Genomic DNA, 11,593 nt, shown 5'->3' with positions numbered 1-11,593 from the left:
GGCCACGGGCTGCTGTGTCCAGGAAAAATCTTCAGTGTTGGAGCCACTATGCTGTGTGTGCCATTTACTTGGGGCCAGCAGAGCAGAGGTGCGGCCACTGTGGGGTGCTCAAGTCTCTGGGCTGCACTGACAGTGGTAGTGGCCTGACTTGGCAGGAAGAGGGTGCTGTAGAGCCAAGCATGGAGTACATAATTTTGGGTAGGGCCAGCCCTACCTTCAAGGATTCACCTGGGACGACCGCCTGGTTTGCTGCCAACTCCGAAGGGTGCCCCACCAGCAAATTCTTTTTTAAAATTTCAGCTATTATTTTGAATTCAGGGGTTACATGTGCAGATTTCTTACCCGAGTATATTGCATGTTGCCAAGGTTTGGGATATGAATGACCCTGTCACCCAGGTAATAAGCATGGTATCCAATAGGTAGTTTTTCAGCCCCTGCCCCTCTCCCTCTCTCCCCACTCTGGTGGTCCCCAGTGTCTGTTCTCATCTTTATGTCCATGTGTTTATGGACATGTGTTTATGTGTCCATGTTTAGCTCTCACTTACAAGTGAGAACATGCAGTATTTGGTTTTCTATTTCTGCATTAATTTGCTTAAGATGATGGCCTTTGGCTGCATCCATGTTGCTGCAAAGGACATGATTTCATTCTTTTTTATGGCTGCATAGTATTCCATGGTGTATATGTACCACATTTTCTTTATCCAATCCACTGCTGATGGGCACCTGGGTTGATTTAATATCTTTGCTATTGTGAACAGTGCTGTGAGGAATACACGACTACATGTGTCTTTTTGGCAGAACAATTTATATTCCTTTGGGTATATACCCACTAATGAGCTTGCTGGGTTGAATAATAGTTCTATTTTCAGTTCTTTGAGAAATCTCCAAACTGCCTTTTCACAGTGGCTGAACTAATTTACATTCCCACCAACAGTGTATAAGTGTTCCTTTCTCTCCACAGCTTTGCCAGCATCTGTTATTTTTTGACTTTTAAATAATAGCCATTCTGACTGGTGTGAGATGGTGTCTCATTGTGGTTTTGATTTGCATTTCTTGGATGATTAGTGATATTGAACATTTTTTTCATACGTTTGTCAGACACTTGTGTGTCTTCTTTTGAGAAGTGTCTGTTTATGTCCTTTGACCACTTTTTAATGAGGTTATTTGTTTTTTTGCTTGTTTAATTGTTTAAGTTTCTTATAGATTCTGGATATTAAACCTTTGTTGGATGCATAGTTTGTGAATATTTTCTCCCATTCTGTAGGTTGTCTGTTTACCCTGTTGATAGTTTCTTTTGCTGTGCAGAAGTTCCTTAATTATGTCCCATTTGTCAATTTTTGTTTTTGTTGTAATTGCTTTTGAGGACTTAGTCATAAATTCTTTGACAAGGCTGATGTCCAGAATGGTATTTCCCAGGTTTTCTTCTAGGATTTTTATAGTTTTAGGTCTTACATTTAAGTCTTTAATCCATCTTGAGTTAAGTTTTGTATATGGTGAAATGTAGGGGTCCAGTTTAATTCTTCTGCATATAGCTGGTCAGTTATCCCAGCATCAAATATTTATTGAATAGGGATTTCTTTTCCTATTGCTTATTTTTGTTGACTTTGTCAAAGATCAAATGGTTGTAAGTGTTCCATATGAATTTTTTTCTAATTCTGTGAAAAATGATGTTGGTAGTTTGATAGGAATAGCATTAAATCTGTAGATTGCTTTGGGCAGTATGACCATTATAACAGTATTGATTCTTCCAGTCCACAAACATGGAACATTTTTCCATTTGTTTGTGTTACCTATGATTTCTTTCAGTATTTCAGTAGTGTTTTGTAGTGTTCTGTTTAGAGATCTTTCACTTCCTTGGTTGGATGTATTCCTAGGTATTTTTTTTTTTTGAGTGGCTATTGTAAATGGGATTGAGTTCTTGATGTGGCTCTCAGCTTGAATATTATTGGTTTATAAAAATGCTGCTGGTTTTTGTATATTAACTTTGTATCCTGAAACTTTACTGAAGTTGTTTATCAGTTCTAGGAGCCTTTTGGCAGAGTCTTTAGGGCTTTCTAGGTATAGAATCATATTGTCAGTGAAGAGAGATAATTTGATTTCTTTTCCTACTTGGAAGCTTTTTGTTTCTTTGTCTTGCCTAATTGCTCTGGCTAGGACTTCCAGTACTATGTTGAATAGGAGTGGTGGGAGTGGGCATCCTTGTCTTATTCCTGTTCTTAAGGGGAATGCTTCCAGCTTTTGCCCATTCTGTTTGATATTGGCTGTGGGTTTGTTGTAGATGGTTCTTAGTCTTCTGAAGTATGTTCTTTTGATGCCTAGTTTGTTGAGGGTTTTTTTTTAATCATAAAGAGATGTTGGATTTTATTGAAAGCTTTTTCTGCATCTATTGACATGATCATATGATTTTTGCTTTTAAGTTTGTTTATGAGGGGCGAATAACATTTATTGACTTGTGTATGTTAAACCAACCTTGCATTCCAGGAATAAAGTCTACTTGATGGTGGTGAATTGACTTTTTTGTGTGCTGTTGGATTTGGTTTGCTAGTATTTTGTTGAAGATTTTTGCATCTATGTTCTTCAAGGATATTGGCCTATAGTTTTCTTTTTTTACTGTGCCGTTGCCAGATTTTGGTATCAGGATGGTGCCAGCTTCATAGAACGAGTTAAGGAAGGGTCCTCCTTGATTTTTTTCTACCAGCAAATTCTACCATCTTTTGGACTCTCATTATGAGCAGGTCACTGAGCAGGACACTGGGTAGGGTGCCTTAAAAGCAGGATCACATTGTATCTTCACATTAACCCTACAAGAGGGATGTTATTATTCCTATTTTACAGGTAAGAGCAAACTGAGGCTTAGGAGGGATAAGGAACTTGTTCAAGGTCAAGATTATCTAGCTAGCAAGGAGTGGAGTTGAGACTCTCAGCTCACACAACTAACCCCAAGGCCCAAGCCAGAGACCGCTCCTCTGTGCTGCTCCCAGAGCTGGGCTGGGGAGGCACCACACTTCCCACAGGGGAGGAGAGGGAAGGTTTAGTCACAGAAGCTGGAAGCTCCCCAGCCCTGCCCATGTGTAGGTTGCTCAGGGACCTGTTATTTCACAGTGTCACTCTGGTTCTGTCTGAGAGGCATGTGACTGGCTAGGATGTGGAGACTTATCTTCAGGTCACACCTGGCTGGGGATGCTGGTGTGCAGGGCATAGTGTGCAGCCTGTGGGGTACAACTGCTCACCCTGGACGTTCCTGGGCCTAAGCTAGTGACACCAGCGCTGTGAGTGCTGCTTGCTTACTCAGGGCTGCTCTAGGTGTGGGTGCTCCTGGCTTGTCTGCCGGGTGGGGTGGGAGCTGTGCTGAGTCTCCACTGTAGAGGAAGGTAAAGCCTCACGTCCAGGAAGGCTCACTCACATGTACTTGGAGGATCCTCTGTCCAAAGCACAGCAACAAGAGACTGATTTGAAATGAGGATGTAGGGTTGGGGGTGCCCTATGAGGAAGCCCTGGGTAAGTCTTGTCAACCTGAGCTTCTTGGGATACCCCCATGGCCAACGGAACAACTTCTTAGAACTAGAAGTACAGACCAAATGAGCCAAAAGAGGAACTTGCAGATCACTTGGTCTGATGTCCTCATTTTATGGATGAGGAAACTGAGGTTTGAGGGAAGCTGTGACTCATCTAAAGTGACAAAACCAATGAGAGGTGGAGGCGAGCAATCTCCTGATTCCTTGCCACACCTGCAGGCCACTCAAGGCCTTCCTTGTAGTGATAAAATCTTTTTTCATCTTATTATCAGCTAAGTCCATCCTTCTGTTGGACTTCCTACACCAGCTCCTCCTGGGCCAAACCAGACAGTCCCTTTCACTGCCCAAGTTGTTCATTCCTCTATCTGGGTGTTTGCCCACATTGTCACTCTGCCTGGACCTGCAGTAGCTGCTCATTTGTCACAGTGGCTTGTCTGCTGAACTCCTCCTTATCCTTTACAACTGGGATCAAAGATCTCTTCCAGGAAGCAGCCCCCTCTACTGTCCCCACTGGAAATGGTCCCTTCCTCTTCTTTTCCTGAACCCATTGTTTGGGCTTCTCTGTAGGATGAGTTATCTACTTTCTTTTTATCACAACAGTTTACAACCTGTGCACATGTTCCTCAGGGCACTGGAAGAAGAGAGGGGTGGGTATTGGAACCTCTGGCTTGGATGTGAGAAATCTGAGACTCAAGAATGTTAGATGACTAATGAGTGGCGGAGCAGACTCAGACACCCAGGCCTCCTGACTCCCACGCCATTTGGACAGGAGCCAGAATGCATCTCTGGGAATGGTTCCCCCAAAGTTGTGCAGTGCGCAGCCTATGAGGCTGTATTTGGCGGTCGCACCTCTGTGCCTGGTACAGTGCCCTAAATAAGGCAGATGCTCAGTAAGTGTGGGTGGATTCAGTGGAACCACAGTGCAGAGGCAGCTCTCTTTTCTCTTCTTCCTTCCCTGTTTCCTTCTCAAATCTGTTTTTTTCTCCCCTCTTTAACTCCCTGCATTTTCCACTGAATTTTTCATTGGGAAGAAGCACATTTAGAGATGTGAAGCACACACTTTGCTGGGCTTCAGCTTTGATGAATCTTTGATGCTGACACTGGGGAGGCAGATGCTGCAGCAGATTGGGGGTGGGGAGGGAGGGGTTGGGGAGGGGCCTCTAAGGGCATGATTTCCCCCTCCCCTGCCCCTTCCAGAGGGAGCTCAAAGCTGCCACTTGCCTTGCCCAACTGTGCTCTACAGCATGAATTGTGTGTGAGTGCTGGGGCATGAGGTGGGTGAGAGAGTGCATGCTGGAAGTGGGAGGGGCCAGATGAGGGGGAGGGCAGTTGCAAGTCACCAGTACCTCTGACATCACCCACATTAACCTTAGCTCCCTCCACTTCCCCTCACTTCTCCATGAATGTGGAGGTCATATCAATTTCTAGCTGTGTGACGTGGTGAGGCACTTAATCTTTTTGAGTCTTAGTTCCTCAATAGTCCATTGGAGATGCTAATACCTTCCTCCTAAGGCCACTGTGAGTAAACAAGACACCCTATTTGCTGTGCCTGACTCATACTACATGGTAAATATTTATTTATTCATTCCATTCACTTGTCCCTCTGTTGAAATTCACTTTTAAGAGCCTGGTGAGGCAAGGTTTGTTCAACATGAGTGGTTATCTGTGAGGCCCTGGGTGAGCCCTGCCTTGGAGAGCTGTTACTCATCTTTTCCTTTTCTTTTCTTTTCTTCTTTTTTTTTTTTTTTTTTTTTTTGAGACAGGGTCTCATCTTGACACCTAGGCTGGAGTGCAGTGGCACAATCACAGCTCACTGCAACCTCAACCTCCTAGGCTCAGTAGACCCTCCCACCTCAGCCTCCTGAGTTGCTGGGACTACAGGTGCGTGCCACCACACCCTGCTAATTTTTTGTGTGTGCCTGTATTTTTTGTAGAGGTGGGGTTTCTCCTTGTTGCCCAGGCTGGTCTTGAACTCCTGGGCTCAAGTGATTCACCCACCTTGGCCTCCCAAAGTGTTGGGATTGCAGGCATGAGCTACGGCGCCCAGCCTGATACTCATCTTTGCACAGTCTACACAACAGTAGTGGATAATGGACAGATGGAGACCCATCCTGGCATGGAGGTTCTGAGCTTCAGTTCTCACCTGACCTGGTGGTTGGACATGTGGCTCCAGTAACCCCTTCTGGGGGAGAGACTCTGCTTGAGTCACACTGGGTGCCCCTCAGTGCCGAGCACAGGTATCTGGCCCAGAGCACTGCTGGGCAACAGACCAAGGAGGATGGTGCTGGAGGACATTTGGGTGTGGTGAGAGGCTATCCCTTCCCCCTGATTTGCCGCTCTATACCGCCTCTGTCAGGGTTGTAGGACCCTTACCAGGCAGGGAGAGATGGTGATTGTTTTGTGGTCATTCCCCTGTAATTTGCTTCATATCATCTTTGCATGATTTGTAACTGCCCATCAGGTTCATCTTGCCTGCTGTCTAGACAGAGCCAATTTATCAAGATAGGGGAGTTGCAATAGAGAAAGAGTTCAATTCATGTAGAGCCGGCTGTACGGGAGACTGGAGTTTTATTATTACTTAAATCAGTCTCCCTGAGAATTCAGGGATCGGTGTTTTTAAGAATAATTTAGTGGGTAGGAGGACAGTGAGTCAGGAGTGCTGATTGGTTGGCTTGGGGATGAAATCATAAGGAGTCAAAGCTGTCCTCTTATGCTGAGGCGGTTCCTGGGTGGGGGCCACAGAAGTGGTTGGCAGGTCCAGCTGGGGCCATCAGGTTGCCAGACATGCAAAAAACTGAAAAGTTATCTCAAAAGGCCAATGTTAGGTTCTACAACAGTGATGTTATCTTCAAGAGTAATTGGAGAAGTTGTAAATCTTATGACCTCCAGAACAATAGCTGATAATAATTAGAATTCAAGCCCCTCTTATCCTAACTTGGTGGCCTTTTATTTGTTTTACAAGAACACGTTAGCTTTTGGGAAGAGCTGTTATTTAAACTATAAATGTCTCCCAGAGTTAGCTTGGCCCAAGCCCAAGAATGAGCAAAGAGAGCCAACTTGTGAGGCTTGAGACAAGATGGAGTCAGCCCTGTCAGGTTTCTCTCACTGTCATAATTTCCTTAGTTATGATTTTTGCAAAGGCGGTTTCAGATTTGCCTTTTACTAAAACACACAGGCTTGCACTTCATCTTGAGTGAGTGTGTGTGCATCTCTGGCTGGTCCTCCAGAGCTGGGTCCAGCAGGCCAATCCCTGTGCCCCTCTGGAGTTTCTCCAAGGCCACCCTGGGCATTTCCAGTAGGATATTGTTGCTCCACATCAGGGCTCCTGCCAGCAGCGTAGCTGTGCTCCACACAGAAGTCCCTCAGCTGGTGACCACAGAATAATGAATGCCAATCTGGATGTTAGTTTGCACACATTTGCATACCCCAGGGGTCTGCCTGGCCTGTGAGGTCTTTCTGACTCTGAGCAGCTATGATGCTGTGATTAACCTCACAAATGCATAATGGATCTTGAGGTCCTTTCCCGGCAGAGATGTTGGGGAACTAATGCAACCCCCTGCCTTTTCTCTTAAGCTGCCTTCAGGGCTGATATCATGGGTTGGTCAACTGCCTGAGATTTCTTCCTCTATCTGGGGTTAGCAAGACACCTAAAAGGTAATCCTCCCCACCTCTCCCCACCCGCATAGTGCTATTAGTCAGCTACACCTGAGTGTGAATTACTTTAGTCAGATTTCTTTCCCATTAATATCCTCAAGGGAAGGGGATTTAATAGAAGTAGAGTGAGTGCCTAAATTACTCACGGAGCCCTGGGCAGGTTCTGCCTTTCAGCATGACTCATCTTTGTGTGGTCTGCACAAACAGCCAAGTATAAAGGATAAGAAGGGAGCTGCCCCTGGCACCAGAAGCCCTTGTCTGGGCAGATGGAAGTGTTATGGGGAGGGAAGGCCCCAGAAGAATTGGGGAGAGGGGTATCCCTCATGGACTTTGCTCTCACATGGGGTGTAGTTGGCCATTCAATCACCTCTGGTCTGCTGCCCACTGCCTGTCTTGCTGTCTGGATGTCTAAGACAACCCTAAGACGCCTGGATGTCAGAGCCTGTGGTGCAAACATTTGGCTGCCAGCAAGGGTCACTGTTCTGGTTTTCAAGGCCAAATCAGAGTGGGTTTTTCTGGGGTTTGGGAGCAGCAGGAGCTAGAAGGTAAAGGGCTGACACCTTGTTAGGGGTGGGTGGTGTTCACTCCCACCAGGAATTCTTTTGCAGCCAAATAACAGAGAAGCTTCAGGCTTGAATTTGGCCCACAAATCTGAGCCCTCATAATGGAGATGTGGGAGTCCCTAAGCCCCCGTGTTGGGGTGCCGTGGGGGTGCCCGTCAGACGCCCCCGTGCCGCAGGTGGGCAGATGGACCCAGCGGGCCGCTCCCCTCTGCAGTCTCAGCTCCTCCTCATGGGCACCTGTGGGGCACCACATGCAGCTGAAATGTCGGGGCCTGGGACTGCCTCGCCGGGGGGCGCTGGGTAGCTCATGCCCCCTTGTCTGTGCAGTGAGAGGTTCCCTGAGGAACATTCTGGAGCTGGCATCTTAGCTCCGCCACTCGTCACCAGGCAGTACCCCGAGGTTCAGGTGCTGGCATCGGGGGAGGAGCTTCTGCAGGTCACACCGGACGTTGGGCTCTGTTGAGCCCAGAGCCTCTCAGGAGCTGGCCGAGTGTGCAGCTGGTGGAGGAAGCTCAGTGCTTCCTGTCCCCAGGCGCTCCCTTGATGACTGCCAGGAACCTTGAGGTTAGAGGGTGCTGATCTGGCTTTCAGGAGATTCCCCCACCCCCACATTGACACAGCTCTGGGAAGAAGCAGCACTTCAGCTGCCCTCAGTGACACTGGGATTACAAAGAAGAAAGGCCCCAGGACACAGCGTGTCATTCATGGGAACAAGACGGGGTGGAGAGGGGAGGCCACCTCAAAGACACATTCCTCCCTGGTCCTGATGTCCTCCCTCTACATGCAGAGCTTCACTGATTCCACCTGGAGCTCACAGTCACTTTGGGGAGGGGTGTTGCTGGCATAAGGCTCCTCTCCTGTCTCACAGATGGGAACACTGAGGCTCATGGTGACTTGCCCAAGACCACAGAGCTGAGATTCAGCAGAGCCAGGCCTTGTGGCTGTGAGTAAGGCACAGCTGGCCTGGGGCCATAAGTAGACCCAGGGGAATTTAGGGGAACTCTTACAAGTTTTGGGAACCACGTGGCCACTTCAGGGTCAGCCCCTATCCCAGCTGTCTTGGAGGCAGTGTTCCCTGCTGGGGTTCAAGGCTTTAGGGGATGGGCTTTTGGTGCTGAGGGAAGAAACCCTGAGAGCTGCAGGCTGGGCCCAGCTGTGAGGTTTCAGAAATAGAAGTGTTTTCAAAGGTTGACAAAGACAACTCCATCCTCTGTTTACAGCAGAAGCAACTGAGGCCCAGAGGAGCAAAGGCCCCCAAGCAAGGTCTCCAGCAGGCTGGGAGCACGGTGGAAATGGAGCCCGCTCCCCTGTCTTCCACTGCCTGTTTAAGAGAAGAGCAGCCGCGAGGCCCTGGGCTGGTCTCGGGGGTGAGCTCTGCTGTGGATACCCGCCATGGCTTGTCTTCCCCGCCCACAGATAAATGCAACCTTTCTCTTCTACGCTCTCCCTGGGCGGCTGCGTTTGTACCCCTCTCTCTATTCTCTGCCCTCCCACTTCACTGCCTGCTTCAACATTTGTTCCTTCATGCATTCATTCATTCAGCTGTTTATGGGTGTCTCCTTGTGCCAGGCTCTGTGCTGGGCAGAGACTGGGTCTCTGCACACTCTAGAAAAGGGACAGAAGCTTCACCTGGTTAACCCCCCCTATGTAGAATGACAGGCTGTGATTTGTGGTGTGAAGAAAAGGGACAGGGTGCGAGGAAAGGGTGTGACCAAGTCCTGGCCCCAGGCCAGGGAGCCAGGGGACTCTTGTAGGAAGCTTCTTGCAGGAAGCGACATTATTCTAACCCCTTCCTTCACACCATCAGCTCCCCTGAGACAGGAGCCTCAGCATCCAGCACTCTGCTGTCTGCAGAGAGCACAGAAGGTGCACAGTGAGCGCTCTGCCCAGCTTGGGGGGCGGTTTGGGGAGTGGAAATGGCTTACTTTCTGGCCTGTGATGGTCTTGCTGCATGAAACATGGGGCGACTTCGGTTCTTTAACCTCCTTGGGCCTCAGTTTCTACATTTGAATACTGAGGATGTAAAGGCCCACTCTGAAAGTGGTGACAAATGGAAGGCCCCTTCTCTCCTTCCATGTGACACTGTGAGAATCAGTGTCTCAAGTTTTCTTGCCTATTACTTTTGACTAGTTTCTTTTTCACCTTGTGATGTAAATATGTAAATGAATGTCAGAAAGACTGACATGAGTATGGCTGATATGCAGTGGTTGTTATTGTTGGCAAGGGTGCTCGCTTTGGAATCAGAAGACCGGGGTTCAAGTGCTGCTTCTACCCAAGTAGCTGTGTGGACCTGGACAAGTTGTTCTCTGGACCTTATTTTCCTCATCTGTTAAATGGACCTACCTATCTCTCAGATGCTAGAAGTGGCAGGTGCCAGTGCCTGTCATTATTGAGCATTGAGACCTCTCTAGAAGGTTCTTCTGCCCAGAAAAAAATGCTAAGTGGAGGAGGCAGTAGGTGGAGGGACTGGTGTGGGCACAGGTGGGATGGCGGTCTGACCAGCCCGCCATGGGAACCTGGCCGGGCAGCCCAGCCCTGGCCATTAGCCGTCAGTGAGATCTGTGGCTCTTACACTGTGAGCTTCAGTTGAAACAAACAAGCATGGCGTGGATGGAGGGGGTGGCAGCAGGGAGGGAGGGCCCAGCTGGTTGCCAGATGCAGCATGGCTACTGCAGGAGGGGACCCAGGGGGTCTCATTACCGGCTCGGCCTCCACTGCTCCAGATCTGGGAAGCACCGTCCTTCCTGCGGGGCCATCAGACATTCAGGGCAGAAGATGGTGGAGCTGCTGGGAGAGAGAGAGCAGCCCCTTTTGGCGTACAGGTTGGCCAGCCCCTCGTGAGGTTGGTGTGGGCGCTGGTGCATGGGGACCCTGGAAGCCCCCTCCACTTCAATCCCTTTTCTTTTCTAGACACCCTCTTTCTTGCTTACCGGGTTTTCTTCTTTTTCCTTTCTCCATGCACTTCCATCAGGACTTGCTCTTCCCATATCAGTGGCCCGCTCTTCCCATAATTCATTCAGCAACTGAACTGACCACCTCCTCCTGACTTGGCCCAGGGTCTAGGCAGATGTCCAGGGCAGTTGGTGGAGTGGTGGTTTTGCAGGAGCTGATTTTGTCTCAAGTGAGAACACCCATGGGGCCCCAATACCATATCAAACAGACCAGAGAGAGAGTTGTGCCATCTCAGCCTTGCCCTCCTGGGCCCGTGGGTATGGAGGTGTCACCAAGTAGCACAATTTGAAATCTACAGCTTTGGTCCAACCTTCTTGTTTTATTCAAAGAAGAGCTGGACCCAGAGCGGAGAAGTGGCTCAGACTTGGGGCTGGCGCCCACGGGCCCTGACTCCTGGTATGGGGCCTCTTCTTCCCTGACTACCCAGGTCCTTTCTGGTGTTCACTGTCACTTCTCATACAAGCCCATCTTGGTATCTGCACAGAGAGCTGAACCTTTCCTGCAGCCAGGAGGCTTATGCTGGGACATTTCATGGGCTTTCTGCAGGTGAATTGAGGCCAATTGATGACCCAAGATGCAGGTGACATTGAGGTAAAATGGACACTGAAGACAGGGCAGCCACGAAAGGGGAAGAAGCCCCTGGAGGGTAGCAACTGTGGGCACTGGGGGAGGAAGTAGAGGGGCAGCCCAACCCCTTCCCCTTGATCAGAAGCGTTACCGTAATAATAGATTCCAGATGATCTCAAACAATACCTCAGGCACATTCATTATTATTTAATCCATGTTGACAACACGGCAGGTAGTTTTATTGTCCCTATTTTTCTGAAGAGGAAGCTAAGGCTCAGAGAGGTTAAGTGACTTGCTTGAGGTCACACAGCCTGTGGCAGAGCTGGGATCTGAAACCAGTCT

At 48.6% G+C, this 11,593-nt stretch overlaps 1 long non-coding RNA gene across 1 annotated transcript, besides 7 other annotated features; it reads left to right on the top strand.

Moving 5' to 3' along the window:
• Window positions 226-305: an enhancer, noted in NCBI's record as "active region_9697". NCBI's record gives its function as "activates an Ori minimal core promoter by ATAC-STARR-seq in GM12878 lymphoblastoid cells {active_cell/tissue: GM12878}" and the evidence as "EXISTENCE:reporter gene assay evidence [ECO:0000049][PMID:35858748]".
• LINC02205 (long intergenic non-protein coding RNA 2205) lies at window positions 7,150-9,171 on the top strand. The gene is made up of 2 exons (NR_146562.1): window positions 7,150-7,169; window positions 8,953-9,171. It is a non-coding gene; the product is annotated as a long intergenic non-protein coding RNA 2205 (long non-coding RNA).
• Window positions 7,212-7,261: an enhancer, noted in NCBI's record as "active region_9696". NCBI's record gives its function as "activates an Ori minimal core promoter by ATAC-STARR-seq in GM12878 lymphoblastoid cells {active_cell/tissue: GM12878}" and the evidence as "EXISTENCE:reporter gene assay evidence [ECO:0000049][PMID:35858748]".
• Window positions 8,535-9,058: an enhancer, noted in NCBI's record as "H3K27ac-H3K4me1 hESC enhancer chr15:70796359-70796882 (GRCh37/hg19 assembly coordinates)". NCBI's record gives its function as "activates a minimal SCP1, AML or CMV promoter by ChIP-STARR-seq in primed H9 embryonic stem cells {active_cell/tissue: H9 hESC(primed)}" and the evidence as "EXISTENCE:reporter gene assay evidence [ECO:0000049][PMID:30033119]".
• Window positions 8,552-8,601: an enhancer, noted in NCBI's record as "active region_9695". NCBI's record gives its function as "activates an Ori minimal core promoter by ATAC-STARR-seq in GM12878 lymphoblastoid cells {active_cell/tissue: GM12878}" and the evidence as "EXISTENCE:reporter gene assay evidence [ECO:0000049][PMID:35858748]".
• Window positions 8,642-8,781: an enhancer, noted in NCBI's record as "active region_9694". NCBI's record gives its function as "activates an Ori minimal core promoter by ATAC-STARR-seq in GM12878 lymphoblastoid cells {active_cell/tissue: GM12878}" and the evidence as "EXISTENCE:reporter gene assay evidence [ECO:0000049][PMID:35858748]".
• Window positions 8,882-9,021: an enhancer, noted in NCBI's record as "active region_9693". NCBI's record gives its function as "activates an Ori minimal core promoter by ATAC-STARR-seq in GM12878 lymphoblastoid cells {active_cell/tissue: GM12878}" and the evidence as "EXISTENCE:reporter gene assay evidence [ECO:0000049][PMID:35858748]".
• Window positions 9,059-9,584: an enhancer, noted in NCBI's record as "H3K4me1 hESC enhancer chr15:70795833-70796358 (GRCh37/hg19 assembly coordinates)". NCBI's record gives its function as "activates a minimal SCP1, AML or CMV promoter by ChIP-STARR-seq in primed H9 embryonic stem cells {active_cell/tissue: H9 hESC(primed)}" and the evidence as "EXISTENCE:reporter gene assay evidence [ECO:0000049][PMID:30033119]".

This window comes from Homo sapiens, chromosome 15 (genome assembly GCF_000001405.40).
Source record: "Homo sapiens chromosome 15, GRCh38.p14 Primary Assembly".
In the NCBI taxonomy this organism is placed as follows: Eukaryota; Metazoa; Chordata; class Mammalia; order Primates; family Hominidae; genus Homo; species Homo sapiens.
The sequence above is the reverse complement of the archived record's forward strand: the minus strand, read 5'-3'. Positions and strand labels throughout refer to the sequence as shown.